Source organism: Homo sapiens, chromosome 15 (assembly GCF_000001405.40).
Source record: "Homo sapiens chromosome 15, GRCh38.p14 Primary Assembly".
NCBI classification, from domain to species: Eukaryota; Metazoa; Chordata; class Mammalia; order Primates; family Hominidae; genus Homo; species Homo sapiens.
In genome coordinates, this window is record NC_000015.10 from 30,970,567 (window position 1) to 30,989,321 (window position 18,755).

The 18,755-nt window shown below is 38.6% G+C and overlaps 1 protein-coding gene across 6 annotated transcripts in view; it reads right to left on the reverse strand.

The window, feature by feature from the left end:
• MTMR10 (myotubularin related protein 10) overlaps nt 1-18,755 on the reverse strand; it is a 72,913-nt gene that overhangs the window by 51,851 nt on the left and 2,307 nt on the right. For 5 of the 6 annotated variants that reach the window (XM_011521737.4, XM_047432771.1, NM_017762.3 and 2 more), the window contains exons 3-5: nt 6,253-6,389; nt 4,365-4,437; nt 3,748-3,890 (exon numbers count right to left, since the gene is read on the reverse strand). In XM_011521737.4, the coding sequence (XP_011520039.1) occupies nt 3,748-3,890; nt 4,365-4,437; nt 6,253-6,389 (353 nt within the window). The remainder of the gene's footprint in view (nt 1-3,747; nt 3,891-4,364; nt 4,438-6,252; nt 6,390-18,755) is intronic. The other variant, XM_047432770.1, reaches the window with a different exon arrangement.

Below are 18,755 nucleotides of genomic sequence, written 5' to 3' on the forward strand. Positions count from 1 at the left end.
AGGAAAATGCTCCAAGCCAATAATAATAATACTAATGTCTATCACATTCTCCAAAACAATTAGAAAGCAGTTACATGCTCTTTCTGTTTACAGAAAAGAAATTCACAGATCATTGATCATGGACATCCTTTTTTTGTGGCCATGAGGCAAAAAAGAAATAAAGCCTATTTTCAAGGCAAAACCCAACACAGCGTATTTTTTAAAAGCCCCTTAAAAATAGCACAATATCACATCAGGTTAGGAAACAAATGAGTATGTCCAAAAGCATCTACGCTGAAAGAAGTCTATAAAAATATTGTAAAACTGCAAGTCAGTTGAATTACTCGTTGATTTTTTTGGGGTGGCAGAACTCGAACTAAATACATTGTTTTTCAGTAGTGAATTTCAAGTGTATAACTTATGTTCATATGACCTAAGTAAGAGGCCTCTTTGGACACACAGACTAAGGCACATACAAACTTGTGTACCTGGATTGTCTTCATGTTGTTACTGTGGAACACTCCGAGAAGAGAAAGCCAGGGCCCCATTCTTTGCACTTTTACATACACACTATTTTAAAAACCTAAGTCCAAATTCCTACCTTTCATCCTAAGAGTTTTTGAAAGATCTGAAATACTTCATTTGTCCTGGCTACCACAGGAAATGAAGAAAATGTTGGTATTAAAGACATTAAATTATGGCAAATATTTTATTGGAGAAAAAGAAGTAAACTACTTTTAAATCAATTTTTGGACCAAAGCTGATAATCTTCTCTGGACAGAAGCCAGAAGTACCCACAGTGGATGGTTTCTTTCCTAAGATCACCTGGGGTGCAGTACTGAAGAAACTCAAATCCAGGAAACACTCAAACCTCATTAAGTTCTATCTCATTTGCAAACAAAAGTGGTTTATTTCTGTGGCCTGAAAGCCACCAAAAAACAGTACCAGATTCAAGTCAAAAATGACAGTTCATGAAAAGGCCAACTTGTTCCTTAATCAGATGAATGGAATTCACTTCTATAAAGTATTCCTGAAGAAGTGATTCACAACCCACTAATCAGAGAACAAAGTGGAGACAAAAGGCATGTATTTCACTTGTCACTCATGTGTATCTATATATTTATCTTTATCTACACAGACAGATATATAGATAAATCATTAAAAACAACCTTTATTATTTTGCCCTTCAGTTTTGAGCAAAGGTTCTGCAAAAGAAAATGGTGGTTCTAAGTTGCTATGAGGTTAGATGTCCAATTCTGCACCATCAAATTCCTTCTTTCTTTATACAGACCTTTCCCAAATATCACTATTTTCCTGTGACAGCTCGAGGATAATGAGGATGAATATTAATGAGTACAAGTGCCCAAAGCAATCTAATTTTGTCATAATACAATTGAAACAACACCAACAAGACAACCAGAAGGGTTCAGAACATTTAACAAAATGTGAACCAATTTAGTATTCTTGAATTTCATTTTTCAAAACAAAAACATAAATGGCTTAGGTATTTCAAAATGAATCAACGGTTTACCCACCAGAGAACTCCAAACATGCATTTCATCATTTTAAAGCAACTGATAAAATAGCAAAGCATTTTCCAGAGAAAACAGTATTCCAAGCTTCCAGGAGGTAAAAATGAGCCATAATTTCCTAACTGCTACCGAATTTTAGATGAAAACTTTTCACTTGAAATAAAAGAATATGCCATAATTTTTGTTTTTAACTCACAAAGCCGTCAAGCTTTGGTAGCCATATACAACTTAACCCTGTTTGAAATGCGTAAATCCCAAAAAAACTATTTATATTCTCATTGCATCTATTTTTTTTTCCTGCACCCTCCCCTGCCCTGCAACCCCCGTGGCTATACAAAAGACAGAGACTCACATGCTTTTTATATTTTAGGATACTGGGGAAAAGATTTTTGTCTGAAACTTGGTCTTAGGAAAGGGCATATGAGGGACTGGCTTGTTTTGTGCAGACGGTTTAGTAAGGCCCTCTTCATGAACCAGCAGCACAACACATAGGGGATATTCTGAATTTCCACAGCACTTATTATGCTCTGTTCATCTGGAAATCAACTATTTGTGTAGTTGATTTTATGCTGCCACTTTGTACCATTACTTTTCATTTGTTCATGCTTTATCTTCTTCACTAGATTTAAGTTCTCTAGGGCAAGAAACTGCATCTTACCCTTCTTTCTACTTGCAAAATTTAGCACACTGCCTCAACATGAAAAATGACCAACAAGTACTACAGATGGTTCAAGAACTAGGCCAAATAATTATTATTTCCACTCATTAAAATAGTGTAAACTGAAAAATACAGTAAAAGAGGGAGAATTGAACTTTCCGAAAGAGATCCGGTCAATTGCATCAATTTCTTCCTTAGGAATATGCTGTCCTAACTCAATCTAGCAAGTTCTGTGATGTCCCTAATCTTGAGATGCTACACATCTTAAGGTTTTCATAAGCAGGTCTTTGATGCTTTGATCAATTAAATTACAAATATAAATAAGCTTGAGGAATTAACCTGTCTGAAATATTTTATGTACAGTCTAATACATCATGAATTCTAAAGTCCTTCTATATAATAGGCACTTTAAATTAGTAAAATGCCAAAATCACAAACAGCACAATCGAACAGGTGAAAGAGGCTTTAAGAGTTATCTAGTTGAATTTTCAATAATGCAGCTTGCTGAGAGATGGTTATACAGACCATTTGAAAACTTTTACCCATAGAGGAGCCTACAACCACTCTACTCTGCTAGACAGTCACATATTTTCAGATGTATTTTCATATATTCATCTCCTGCTTGCCTTCCTGTGAAGAAACTGTTGGTTCTCAATCTAAAAACAAATCTACCACCTCTTCACCAAAGTATATGAAGACAGCTGCCTTACAGTATTTTTGCCAGCCTTGTTTTGGTATCAACAGAAGATTTACTGCAGTCAGTTGACTAACCATGGAAAACAAAGGCACTCATTGCTTGGTGGTGCAAAGACTGCCTCCATTCTGAGAGAAAGCCACGTCCTATTATACTAAGATACTGTTGCCCTATTCCCATACACACGCGCAAGCTTCCTACTGGAAAGTCTGTGACTCTGCATTTGCTGCAGCACAGACTGGAACGGGGGCCATATTAGGTCTACCAGCTTCACTCCTCTGGCAAAGCAAAACATGGAAAACATGCCCTTGACTCTTACAAGTAGGGTAATAAGTCATTATCTGGAAGGCCGTGGAAAAATAAGGCAGTTAAAAAGTTACTAGCTTTGTGTTGCCCCTGTTGAGTGTCACTCAATTCATAATATTTCTTTAAACCACTAATAATTACTAGGCCTTTCCCGTAATTATATATTTACCTAAATCTTATGTAACATAAGTCTAGCTTACAGTTTGTTGGTAAAGTTCTGCAGTACTGAATTAAAAGCCTAACCAAACCTTAATTACAGTATATCACCAACTTTTCAACCTTTTAACCAAGAAACTGACAAGTAATGATCTTTATGTAAAAAAATGCTAATTTCCACGTAAGAGTCTTTAATATTTGAGAAGCTGATAAAAAGTTATATAGAACACTTTAAAACAGCCATAAACCAATCCAAGAAAATAGTTCTATTAATATTCTTGGCTTTGACTTTACTTAAGAAGATGTCTGATAACTTCCCCTAAAAAACATCTGAGCAATTGAGAAATGAAAACTGCCATACGGAATTGAAATCAGTAAACACAGTACAGAACCCAGAACTTGATAAACCTTAACAGTATTACCTTTTTAGCACTTTCGGGACCTGATTCATCAAAGCGAAATCTGACAATTCTGAAATCTTTACAATAAATAATTAACTCTGTTGGATTAAATTTCAGTTTCTGGTTGGGGCCTAGGACTTTCTGCTTCCTCTTGTGGTCGTTTACTAAAAAAGAAAAAAAAATAGAGAAAATAAAATGCGTAACAGTTATTTGTTACTCACCCTTTAATACAAATTCTTAGTGAAAATAATTGGAAGGTCACCCAACATTTGAGCTCTGCTTGTCTAGAATGTTTCATACTTGTAATTCCTAGAACTTGGGGGTTGGTTTTAACTTTGCTTTGGAAGATATTTTAAATGATTATTTGCATAAAACCACCATCTAGACACATTTAATGATTAATTTTAATTAAAAAGAGGACAAAAAACCTAGAAACTATGAAAAGTTATACATTTTATATCTTCCTTTTAAAATAATTTATTAACATATCCCTCTTTATGTTCCCGGGACTCAAAAAAACGGCAAAAGTAAACTTACAGAAATAAAACGCCAATCCAAGTATTTTGAGAGGTATGACTTTTCAAATAATACTTCCAGAGTGGAATTGACTTTTAGAGTATGTACGGAATACTACGTACCTGTGACAATTTGCTCAATACATGTTAAAGGGACATCGTGTTCACCAAGAAGAAGGTTTCTGTAATGGAATTTCTGGAATAAAAAATTATGTTCATATTAATTCTTTTCCCAATAATCTCACAATGGTAGTATAAGCCTTAAACTGTGATGATAAACTGTGACAGTTATCTCTAAAAAGCACAAAAAGCTTTTGTCTAGGTAGCTAGGGCCATTCCAATGTTGACAGATAGAAATTAGGTTAAAATGTACACAACAATCTTATTATAATACCTAAGATAGGGAATATCATCAATCACCTTACCAGCAAGCATTTGCATGTCTAGATCTGGATAAGCTGGCCACAACATATTAAAGAAAAAAGGGCTCTTAGGTCATCAGATTTTAAGTGGGTAAAATCATGTTTGATTTTCACACTGAAGATTTTAAAGTGCAAAATAACTATCTTTTTAAAGCACAAAGTCTACTAGAAATAAAAACCATTAGAAAAGGTTTTGCATGTTCAAACTAAGGACGTAGTTAACACTATCAATCTGCTGTCAGTAGGGCACTGGTTTACTTTTTCCTAATAGTGGTACTGGATTTAAGCTGTTCCAGGTATCTGCTTCTCATTTACAGTGAAGTCTGGGGCCAATGATCATTATGAAGCTAAAAACAAAGAGAAACACACAAGCCTATATCCAAATAAGCTACTGTCCCTACACAGTGGGTATCTTTAAGTGCCTTAAATTTAGTCTAAATATACCTACATAAGACTGTAATGAACACACAAATATACAGTACAATAAATATTTGTACAGTATAATAATTATGGTAAATTAGTGAGTGACTACATGAAATATACTTACACTAAACTATTAGATCCTTAAATTTAAAAGTTTACAGTTCATATACCAATATTTCATTAAAGAACAATTACTATAAAGAAAGATCTAGGGGTAAGTGTGTATAATACTTTATAAAACAAAATACAAAATGGCTGACAGAAAAGTCCAGGGTTTTTAAGTTAATCAAATGAATGCCTGAACTTCTAAAAACCAAAATTACATGGAACTATTACTTTCCAGTAAGAACATAAAATAGCAAGAGGGCTACTGAAAATTTTTAAATCGATACTATTCTTCACTCTTCCTAGAAATTAGAATTTAACTTTTTAGGAAAATAACACTAATTAGTTTAAAAAAAAAAAAAAAAGGTAGCTGGGTGCAGTGGCCTGTACTCTGGCACTTTGGGAGGGGGAGGCAGGCAGATTGCTTGGGCTCAGAAGTTCAAGACCAATCCGGGCATCATAACAAAACCCCATCTCTACAAAAAAATACAACAGTTAGCCGGGAGTGGTGGCATGCACCTGTAGTCCCAGCTACTCAGGAGGCTGAGGTGGCAGGATAGCTTGAGCCCAGGAAGCAGACAGAGGTTGCAGTGAGCCGACATCATGCCACTGCACTCCAGCCTGGGAGACAAGACAGAGCGAGATCCAGGCTCAAAACAAAAAAATCAAAAACCCAACAACAAAAAAACCTATGAAATCACTAAAATGTGTGGCATTTATAAAATCATTTAGCAAACAACCTTTTCTCTTTATGTCATTTTTATAAGCAGGTTAAAAGATCTGCAACAGAGGGAATAACTTCCTTAATGAAAAGGACATATAATGAACGATCACAGAGGATAAATAAAGCAAGGTGACTTACAATCCTCTCACTAATACTCCTCTAGCAAGTTCCAACATTCTTCTTAAACTTTACTTTAAATCTTAATATAATTTATCCCAAACATTGCATTACCTAATACTTCTACTATAACTTTTCCATACCTATGTTTTATATAATAATATGTACCACTTAGAGTTGAAAGCCTGATAGAATGAAACAGTGTACTAATAAAACACACCTGTAATGGCATTGGGTCATCTGTAATAAAGGAGATTTTGAAGTTACTGCATATCAGCTTTCCCCACAAATCGTACTGGCTTGTGTCTGTTGCAATGCATTTTCTCACAAAATTGACTTCATTTACGACAATTTCTCCTTTAAAAAAAGAAAAATATTTGTAAGGTACTTTGTCATAAAATACCAACGGTCTTTGTGGGACCTAGAAGGAGTGTTTCATGAGGGCAAGGATGAGGATAGTGAAAACATTCACCAATTGCCCACCAGGTGCCAGGCACTGTATGGTCATAAAGTGAATAGTAATGACAAGGCATTGTTCTCCAAGGCGTAAAACTGAGGCAAAAATAGCTCAGGGGTCTGAGCTGGTTGAACCAGAAAGGCTGACTTCAGTGTACTTTTTTCCTATGCCATACTACCTCTCATTATTTATCTGCTGGAAGACTTTCTGGAGAAGAAATAAACTACACCTGCTCCTTCAGAGTATTACTTGATGGAATATTTGTGTTTTATTAACACATGACTTGATCTCTCAAACCAATGCCTTTGATTCCTTTTGTAAGGAATGAGAAACAGAGCTCAGCTTCACTGAATGTAAAATGTATTCCATAAAGCCAAATCAAGTTTCCTTCTGCACTCAGATTATAACTTAGTAGGCAACAAAACCTTAAAACGTAGTTTGAGTTAAAAGAAAAGATTAAAAGAAATAAATATAAGAAACCAATATAAAAGTTATAATGTACTTTTGAAAGAATACTTTTCTACAATTTATTTAAAGCTTGGTCATCATTAAACCTTAATTTCAAGATCTAAAAGTCAACTAGACGCAGAACATTTTAAGCCATCTGTCTCCAGGGTCAATGGTAGAAAAGTGAGTGTACTGATCCACTTTGCCTATTTCTTTCATTATAAAAACCTTTAGCCCGATAGAATGTTTGCTGACAAACTCCAAACTCCTACCAATTCATGAAGAATGGAACTATAGTCTCAAAACAATCCTCTCTTTAACAAATAGGTTATAACAAATTTGAGCTGCAATAACTTTTATTCGAAGTTCTTAAAAATGTACAAGGCTAGTTTTAGTAACTGCCCCTTAACATTTACCTAAAATCTGCTCATGTCAAATTCACAGTGCCAACAGCTTGAGTTAACTTCCACTTTGAAGACAAGCCTCCCTCTCATGGCTGGGAGCCCTGCATACCCAGCCAGCTACCAGCCTTCCTCACCCTCACTGCTCTGCCCACAGTGGTGGCCTATTAATCCCTCATGGGACCATGCTTCTTCCCATTTCATGGAATATTCTTTTCTTCTACCTTAGTCCAACCACTGTCTAGGGAATGCCTCTTTAAAAAAATCTTCCTATCTAGTTTACATTCACATATCGAAGCATTGTATTTCCAGCACTCATGATAGCTACAATTATATTTATATATTTTTAAATTAATGCCTGCATTACCCTCAGGATTATATGCTCCATGAGGGTAGAAGATGGACTGACTTTATTCACTGCTGAAATGTTAGTGCCTAGAACAGTGTCTGGCACAGGGTAGGTGCCTGTGAAAAGAGTGCTGAATGCAAGAATGAATAAAATCACTTCATGACACTTGGTTCTGTCCACCATGAGTTGGGCAGAAGTTGTTCTAGATAAGAGAAACTAGTAATTCAATATGGCTAAGCAGCCAAGCTGGCTGGAAGATAAGGGCTGTTTGGGTAAATGATATGTAAGTTAGAGAAGAGTCACAGAACTGCCACTGCTTGCCTACATATGCATTAAAGAGCTATAAATAGGACATCTGTCCTGTCTGATTCTTTCAACAACCTGTAAGGTGAGGAAGGCAGATGGTTTCCTTAATACACAGATAAAGGATTTGCACCCAAAGAGGTTAAATCACTTTCCTAAGATCTTAAAAAGAAGTAGTGGACTTCGCACTTATAACCAAGTGTTCTGACTTCAATTCCCATAGTCTTTCCCTATAATTACATACAATTAAATGTACTGCAGTGTAGCAAGTACCAAAACTTATTAAAGTTCAAATATTGGCCTTAACTGAATTCTAACGAGAAAAAAAATTTAAGATGACCAAATATATATATATATAGACGCACTGAGTAATTCAAATACATAAAATTTAAATCTTCTTTGGCTCCTTGAACATAAACCTCACCAATTCCCATATCAGATTCTGGGCCACTGAATACTCAACCCTTTCTCCTCTCCAGTAAATCTTAGATATGAATTGTAAGCAGGCCCTCAATTTAAACAACTAAACTAACCATGCCAGTTCAGATAGAGGACACAGCCCTGTAACAATGACTTCTTTACACGGAATCATCACATACTGTGCCACCTTAGCAAACTCATCTAAAAACAGACTCTTCAAACCTTGCTACAAAAATTCATCCACTTCTAAGACTTATGATCCACACAAACTTGTTATGCATGTTATACTCAAATAAAAATTCACTTAAAGGCTGGGCGTGGTGGCTCACATCTATAATCCCAACACTTTGGCTGAGGCGGGTGGATCACCTGAAGTCAGTTTGAGACCACCTGAGCCAACATGGTGAAACCCATCTCTATTAAAAAAAAAAAAAATTTAGCCAGGCGTGGTGGTGCGCCAGGCGTGGTGGTGCGCACCTGTAGCCCCAGCTACTTGGGAGGCTGAGGCAGGAGAACTGCTTGAACCCAGGAGGTGGAGGTTGCAGTGCACTCCAGACTGGGCAACAGAGCTAGACTCCATCTCAAAAAAAAAAATCACTTAAACAAACAAACTACCATATGATTTCAGGTTCCTGAGAAGGGAAGCAGAAGTAATAACAGGAAGGAAGAGACAGAGCTTGTGTGGCAGAGCCTTGTGGCCACACTAGTACCATAAACAAACTGTATTTAGGAGTCAAACGCCCATGGACAGCCCTTCTTCTCTAGAAGCCAGATTCTTTTACTGATGCACGAATGTTAACGTATCAAGCCTATGAACGCAGTGAGAATGAGACAAAGAAGAGGAGGAGAATATACTTAATGGGTCCAACGGATGGTAAACCATGGCCCACGGGCCAAATACAAAACCTTGTTTTTGTAAATGAAATTTTAGTAAGACATAGCCATACTCATTTGTTCATGTGCCATCTATGGCTGCTTTCACAGGACAAAGACAGAGCTGAGTACTTGAAACAAATACCTTATGGTCCGCAAAGCCTAAAATATTTACTGCACTTCACAGAAAAGGTTTGCTGATCCCTGTGTTAGAGATAGTTACTGAAGCGACAACTCTTAAAATTATCTGAAACAAGGTTTAGAAGACACAACTGGGCATGTCCCATCTGAAAGGTGAGAAGTGAAGCACCTGAAAAGCAGGTGTTTTTGATCTGCAATGTTGTAGCCATTTCAAAGAGCTCTAGAGGACCACTCACAGGAGTGATGAGGACAGACAACCTTCCTACTAGAATGTGTCCATGCAAGTCAAGTCAAAAGATCCCTTTCTCACCAATGAGCTACAGCACTCAGCAGAAAGTAAATATGGAAACCAGGTTTAACTGCTGTACTGCCCATACTCCATCAACAAAAAGCAAAAGCAAGAATTTGGAAATGAACCCCGAGGGGCTAGATTAAGAGTTTGAGATAGCAGAATGAACTTATGCTTGCCTTAATAAACATACAAATAGACATGCAGTAACAGATGTGTGTACACCTGGGTTGGTACATGTGTGTATGTTTTCTAGCTCTGCCCTCTGAAAGTGCTAAAAGCAGTGACGCTCCAGCAACAACATACACACTCAGTACCCAGCTCTTGCTTTTAAAATACCATTTTCCAATAAAAAGAACTAGGGCTCTTTAGAGAAATGGCTGATTCCAAGGCTGGGGCAGGGGAAACAGAAGATGAGTCTGTAGCCTCTGGTAATGCCAGAATACCAGAAAATATGGAAGTGGGGGTGAAGAAAAGCGGGGGGACGGCATTTCCAAAGGATACAAGAGCCAAGATGAAATAACTCTCAATGGCCAAAGCTGGAACAATCTGAGCAACAAAAGAAATAACAAAAATGCCGGATTAGAAAGTAAATTAAAAAGTATCTGTGAATCCATACTGTTGTCAACAGATGACTGAATAATAAATAAATAAATGGCGGAGAAGAGACAAATCTTCCTCACAGAAGAATTCCAATTAATAAATGTAGGAGGAATAAGGAAACAAAATCATGATTAGAACATTACAGTAAAGATCAAGAAACTATCATGGACTCAATGTCATAGACTGAATGACTGCTGTGTGCAACATGCATTGATGAATGCTAAATTCAGAGAGCCAAACTTTAAGGAGAAACAGGTTATTTGTATAAGCACAAAGCTATCTTCCCAAAAGTATTGACTAATTACTGTGGTAGTTTTAAGGTATGCCCATAAATTCGTGATTCTCCTCTCTCCAGGAAGTGGAGCTTAATTCCCAATCCCTTGAATGTGGGCTGCACTTAGTGATTTGTTTCTAACAAACAGTACAGAAAAGGAAAAACAGTCACTTTCTAGAGGAGAAACCTGACAGATATCACTTTAACCTGAAGTGATCGAGGTTAACCTCACCAATAACCAATCATGTTGATGTCTTGTGCCTGCTCACATGACACAAGGGCAAAGGATACCACCTCTGTGGGTCTTTCCCAAAATCCATAACCTCTGCTTAATCAAAAGAAAACATCGGACAAATCCAAACCAAGAGGCATACTACAAGACACTACCTGAATAATAATCTTCCAAAGCGTCAAGGTTTTATTGGGGAATCTAAGGAAAGGGTATCCACAGATTCTTCTGTTATTTGCAACTTTTCTCTAAGTCTGAAATTACGTCTACATTTTTAAGTCAATTTGATGATGTTTCTAGGGGGTGGTTTGTTAGAACAGAAATCTAGTAATTATAAAATTTTTCCTTTTGTAGTAGTATATTTCTATGTTTAAAGAGCTTTAATATGTATTATTTGAGGCAAAATAAAAATCTCATTCTCATGCCTGTAATCTTAGCACTTTGGGAGGCTGAGGCAGGCAGATCACTTGAGGTCAGGAGTTCGAAACCAGCCTGGCCAACATGGTAAAACCCCGTCTCTACTAAAAACACAAAAAATTAGCTGGGCCTGGTGGTGCGCACCTGTACTCCCAGCTACTCAACAGGCTGAGGCAGGAGAATCGCTCAAACTCGGGAGCTGGAGGTTGCGGTGAGCGGAGATCACGCCACTGCACTCCAGCCTGGGTGACAGAACAAGACTCCATCTCAAAAAAAAAAAGAAAAGAAAAAGAAAAAAAAGAAAATCAAATTCAATAGAAAAAAACACGTCAAGGTCTTGAAAGATGAGATGAAAAAGCTGTCACAGACTGAGACATTGAGAATAAGGAGACACGACAACTAAATGCTATGTAGTATCCTGGATGTGAACCTGAAACAGGTAAAGAACATTTGTGGAAAAACTAGGGAAATACGAATAAAACCTGCAGTTTAGCTAATAGTATTGTTGGTTTCTCAGTTGAGCTAAATTCACCAAGGTTACATAAGCTATTAACATTAGCGGAAGCTGGCTGAAGAGTTCACATTAACTCTATCCTCTTTTGTACAACTCTTACAAATTCAAATTCATTCCAAAATAAAACTACTAAAGAAGAAAATAAACAAGAGACACAACATTAACAACAGCCAAAAAAAAGAAAAAAGAAAAAAAAAGTGAAAGAAGGACTCTCTGGGCCAGGGTCTTTTAAGCGCCACACAGCCTTTTCTTACAGAATGGAAATGAGCCCTTGGAAGAGAGCAAAGAACAGAAGTACAGAGGGATACAGGGGAAGAAGAAAGAAAAGAAGGGCACTTCTGAGGATATGCTACAATTGGGTCTTCCTATTACAATAATTAAGTGTCGAGTTAGTGACATGAGTTTTATTTGATAATGCTAAATTTTGTTCATGCAGAACCAGTCTTTAAAATATTTGGATCATGTAGCACAGCTGTCTGCTCACGTAAGTCATTTGTTCATAATTTTAAAAAAAAGGAATGCTGAAGAGGAGCTGTCATAAGCTCCTGCCATGCACTGAAACACTGTGGGCCAGAAAACTAGCTTATACACAGGGAAGAAAAAGAAGACACAAAGTGGCCTCTTCCCAGATAGGATATATAAAAAGAAGGTACTGAGACTGCTCTTGTTCACATGTTAAATTAAGTGACCTTGAAGAGAAAACTCCGAATAAAAGCTTCAAAGCTCTAGAGGTTCTGAAGTTTTCAGGGAGACTATACGCCTGTGCTTTTTATGCAGTAAAAGGGTGGTGTGCTAGAGACGGCTGGCTGGCCTGCTTGTGAGAACCCACCAGACTCCTCTCTCCCAGCTCTGTGCTATGCCATCAGCCACGGTGGGACCATTTACAGCACCAAGCACTTCCCAGGATGCCACAAGGAAGCCTCATGAAGCCAGAAAAAGCAGGAAATTAGCTTCAGTGTGCGGTAAGCAAAAACCTTCTAAATTAGAGGATGATGAGCCAAAGGTTTCTACTAACACCTGGGAGGAAATCAAGAAATCCAAGTTTATTTTCTCAAGACCCTTTCATCTGTAAATATAAATAAGAAGGGAAATGCAATTACAGTTAATAAACCTCCAAATGATATGGCTAGGAAAGTTTTTAACTCCCTGAGGACCTCAAAACCATGTTGTATTATCTTTCCTAACACCTTATACATTTAGAAATTCATCACGTTTGATGGACAGAAATAATGTTTCCCATACATTTTAGGTTGGAACACAGTTTAAGGCAAAGTCTCACGGCACACGTGGCTAATTAACCTGTGGGATGTGTAGAGGCCAAAAGCATAACTTAACTTGGGCTTTTAACAGTAGGGTGACTGCCCCAGTTTGTCTGGGACAGAGGGGTTTCCCTGGGATGTGGTATTTTTAGCACTAAAACCAGGACAGTCTCAAGCAAACTGGGACAAGCTGGTCACCCTAGCTTTAGGTAAATTCAGGAATTAAAGTGGCTCAAAAGTTATCACAGGAAATTGAAACTATGTGGAAGATAAACACAAATCTTTAATGCTGGTACTAACACACAATGTAAAAAAGCAAGTACCAAGTCCAGTGAGTAGCACTCAGGATAGGATGGGGCAGGAGGAAGGGTATAGTGCCGATCTCAGGAAAAATTGTAGAATGAAATCTTGAAGGAAGAAGAGCATTGAGATAGTAGAGAATGTGTGATAATAACAGTAACAAGGTCCTAAATAAGGAATAAGGCATCTGGAAGAGACCAAGGAAGCGGCATGATTGAAGCAAATATCAATATTGGGAAATACTGAGAAATGAAGTCAGTGAGGTACAGTGTTAGCAAATTACAAGGTTAAAGAATTTGGATTTTATCCTGCTTAAGTAGGATTTTATTTATGGAGGTTCATGAACGGTGTTGACAACGATAGTGAGGAGTTTGGAGGGGTAAGAAAATGCTGGCCTAAGGTACTGCAGCAAAAGCCTAAGGAATGGACAGCTCCAAACATTCCTAAGGCTCTACGGGTAAGGTATAAAGCTAATGCTAAGATAGTACAGTTACACTGTTCACTGTTCTGAGGGTGTGTTACAAGTCCTTTGGTCTTTCAAAAACAATGCATTCACAAATTAAAATACTACAAAAATCAGTCTACAATCATTTATGAAGCCTACCTACAAAAAGGAATTACATAAAACACTTGAAAGATAAAGTCTTTGCCTTTAAGGAATTAACAACCCAACTGAGGAAATAAGACGTATGGTGAGACAGAAAACAAGAACAGTACGGGCCAGTGAGCTTGTAAAAAATAAACAAGACATCTATACAACAATGGCTATTTTCATTTCCCAGATGGCCCATGGTTGTATGCTTTTCTGATCCGATTACAAAAGACTCTGACAATCACTGCATTCATTATCTAATAGTTAATCTCAAGAATGAAAGTGCTGTGAGCACTGTAGATGCGAACAGGGAAAGAACTGAGCTGACGCACAGCCTCAGCACAGGGGCCCAGGCTCAACGGGCACTCAAGATTCAGAGCACAAGCATTTGTTTCCAGAGATCTTTCTTGACACCCCTGCCCTACTCCAAATCTGGCTTAGGTGACCTTCCTCTGAGCTCTTACTACTTTTTCTCTCCTCTACTGAAGCATCTCTCCAGTGAACTGAAACTGTCTAAGAACAGGATCCCATCTCCTCAGCATTTTACCCTTCTGCCAAACTGCATCAAGCACACACTCAATACCTGCAGAACAAATTCATTATCGTTAGTCTTGGCATTTCAACTCTTCTCCCTTAAAAAAGAGCATGCCCTGGGGTGAGAAGAGAGCAAAGGCCATCAAGCCCCACTCACTGCAAATCTTACATCCTCAATACAAAGCTGCTGGCATTTCACCAGACTGTGCTTCGGCACAGCCAGCAACAGGAAGTCCACTACCTCCCTAAGACATTCCATTTTCTGGCAGCTGAAATTCTCTGAAAGTTCTTCTGCACGCTGGGTCAAAATCTGTCACTGTTGTGAAAAGGGCAAAGACAAGGACAGAGCTCTTTTTACTTCACTAGAGAACTCCCTCTAGGCTGACATCCAATCTACTCCCCAACAGTTCCAAAGCATAAATCTGTACCCTAGTGTCACCAGTGCAGCCAGGTGGGCCGTGCTACTTAGCAGTTAGTGGCACAGCCTGGGAGCTGGACAGAGAACTCTGGCTCTGCCTTGCTAGCTGTGTGACACTGGGCAAGTTACTTAACCTCAGCAAACTATAGTTTTCACATCTGTCAAATGGAGATAAACTGGTATCCTAGCTGACAAGACTGTTATGATGATTAATCTGCAAGCTATATTAGTTAAGGATCCTCGTTCAAAGTATGTTCAGAAACATGCCTGGTAATAGCTTAGCAAAAAGAAGAATACAAGGCTTTTGTGTCACCTGGCCTGCAAGGACAATGAAACCCAGGGACTTCAACACACATTAGTGCACTTCCTTGGGGTTCTTCACTCTTTTCAACAGATTCTTCTGGAACTGTGGCCACTTGCAGCATTACCAAAGAGGACCTCTTCCCTTAGTACCAACCTAACAACATCCAGAGGCAGACCTGTGTTCATGCTTGCAGTCCAGGGTGGGTTATTAACCTTGCTGGCCACACTGGAACCCAAGGTTGGGTGGAGTTAGTCAGGAAAGGATAATTTGTCAAAAGAGGGAGGATGCATTTTTCAGAGGATGGTGGAAGGGGGCTGGGTGTGGTGGCTCACGGCTATAATCCCAACACTTTGGGAGGCCAAGGTGAGCCAATTGCTTGAGCCCAGGAGTTCGAAACCAGCCTGGGCAATATAGTTGGACCCCATCTCCACAAAAAATACAAAAATTAGCCAGGTGTGGTGGCGCACGTCTGTAGTCCTAGCTACTTGGGAGGCTGAGCTGTGAGGATCACTCGAGCCCAGGAGGTTGAAGCTGCAGTAAGCCGTGATCACACCACTACAGTCCAAACTGGGTGACAGAGCGAGACCCTGTCTCAAAACACAAACAAAAAAATGGCAGTACTCCTAGGCAGACAAAATAATTAATGTTCTCTGTGTGAGTGCTCACAAAATTGTATCTATAGTATTATAATAATCTCATCTAGTAGGTTCTAGTTTAGATTCCAAACCAGGTATAGTGCAAAACTAATTTAAAGGACCAATAAAGAGTTTTTAACTTTTTAATTTTGTTAACTTAAAAACTTTTTTAAAGCTACAGCTATTATCACCAACATTTAACAAAAAAAGTATCTATTCCAAGTAAGTTAGAAGAACATAATCTCAGAATAAAAGACAATCTTTTAAATCAAATAAATTTATCTTTATTAAAGAAAACTGCACTTTTCTTAATTTTCTCACTTTGACCAAGGGCTGGTAAAAACTTCATCCAAATCTGATACCAGGCCCTGGCTGGAATCTGGGTACCAGTGATCCAGGTCACAGTCTTCTACCTTGTCAACAGGCAGCTTAGGGCTCACCCCACGCCTTTCTGCGATACAGGCACATGACACCTCCAGCATTCTCGCTATCCAGGACAGACCTGGCACCCAGGAGATACTCACATCCTCACCGAACCGATCCACCAGTCCAGCAGCTAAACAGGACAGAGTCTGGCATTACATGCTCTTAACAAATATATACTGGAACACAAACATATATACACACACACACTTTAAAAGTCAAACTCAGTTTTCAAGTATTGGAGTGATTTTACACATATACAATATAATCACTGAAAGAATGAAATTCACATAATGAGAGGAAGATAAAGAGAAAGCCTACACAAAAGCTGACTACTTTGACAGAGTACTCTATTTCAATTCCAGGCTCCGACATAAATCTCTTGAAATGTCTGGCATAAAATAACACAGTCTTCCCTTTACTCCTAAATCTGAAAGTTAGTCTGTGTGTGTGCCTGGGTAAGGTAACAGTTTAAGCCAGGTGGTCTGAGAGGTCCTTTCGTTCAGTCCCTCAGTAAACATCTCAGTGTCTACCACATTCCTGGCACTTTGTGAGACATCAAGACCACAAAGTTGAAGTAGGCACAATACCCATCTCAGAGTTTCATGTATCAGGAAAGCTGAAAATTACTAACATAAACCACAATCTAAATTAAATTACTAGTCATTTTCTTCTGTTTTCTTTACTTAATAAAAGATGAGGATCATTTTGAAATTAGGCTTAAGTTCCAACAGTGCACATGGTGACAGCACACAAATAAACAACTCATTTTGTGTTCTAATTTTCATCTGCTTATTGAATTAGAAGTTCAAACTTTGGGCAACTGAAGTAGGATACCCTTGGACCCAAGGCATTATGCCAAAGCAAAGCATGCAATACCATATCTCTAACAATTAATTCTTTTTTTTTTTATTTTTTTTTTTAAGTTCTGGGATACATGTGCAGAATGTGCAGGTTTGTTACATAGGTATATACGTGCCATGCTGGTTTGCTGCACCCATCAACCCCGTCATCTAGGGATGACGCCGGGAATTTCAAGCCCCGCACGCATTAGGTATTTGTCCTAATGCTCTCCCTTCCCTCATCCCCCACCCCCAACACCCCCGACAGGCCCCGGTGTGTGATGTTCCCCTCCCGGTGTCCATGTTGAACAATAACTTCTGCATCCCTGTATATAGCCACAGGTGATGTGGCCAGGTTTTCTATTGATTCTGATAGTCACAAAGGCAAGAACTATATTATTCACTCCCTCTTAGTAAAAGCTCTAGCCTAGTCTAGGTCTTTAGATCACCAATAGTTCGGTAACTTTCCACTTGTCTTCCAGATTTCATGGGTAGAGCAGTAGGCTACAGGCCAACAAAGAGCAAATGGTAGCAGTGAGAGATGTGACAGGCGAGGTAAAGCAGGAAACAGAGACCACAACAGGGCAGCCAGACAGAACACAGCCAGGATGGGTGCAGGAAGGCCAGAATGAGAGGGTAAGAACAGAAGGGGAGAGGAAGGGGGCAAAAGACATCCTAATTCAGGACCGGCTAAATGTTGGGTAAGGATAAGTCAGGTACAAACAGAATGCTGGGTGATAGAGCCGTCATGTATGCATGTACAGATTTCAGCTATGATTTGGCCGCCAATGCAATAAAAATTAACACAGGTCAGAGAATTCCTTAATGGGCAACTAAAAGGTTCAGACTTAGTGTTACAGCTCTTTTAGAATTTCTCTAAAAATAATACGGAATTTAGCTGCCATTTCTGGGACAAGAAAAGCACAGTCAGAAACTTGGTTTACAACTTCCCCAGAAAACTCTGACTTTTAGCCATTTTATAGAATTGATAACCCTCAGTGAGAAAGTTCTTCAAGTTTATGCATACTTAGTAACACCTTTTCTTAGCACATATCTTAAATTTAAAAGCTAATTTTAAAAAAGTGGCCAGGCGCAGTGGCTCACGCCTGTAATCCCAGCACTTTGGGAGGCCAAGGCGGGCGGATCACCTGAGGGCAGGAGTTCAAGACCAGCCTGGCCAACATGGAGAAACCCCATTTCTACTAAAAATACGAAAAATTAGCCAGGTGTGGTGGTGGGCTCCTGTAATCCCAGCTACTTGGGAGACAGAGGCAGGAGAATCGCTTGAACCTGGGAGGCAGAGGTTGCAGTGAGCCGAGATCACGCCACTGCACTCCAGCCCAAGTAAGAGTGAGACTCTGTCTCAAAAAAAAAAAAAAAAAAATTTAAAAAAAATTTTAAAAAATTAAAAAGCAAGCACTGACATTTACAGCTAAGACCATGTTGTTTCTGAGTGTGAAATCATAGTATGCAGAGTGGAGGAATCAAAGCCTAAGAACCAGGCCTGTTCAGAGTAAACGAAGTCAAAGTTCAATAGCTCATAGGCACTCATTCAAGATGAGTACTGTTTCCTCGTCCCTGCATTTTAAATGCTCAGAGTGACTAAGACTAAAACAGAGCACACAGGGAGCAAGGGTTACTTAGTAATTCTACTGTTCACTCTGAGGAAAAGTACAAATGATTAATTAGTACACACTGT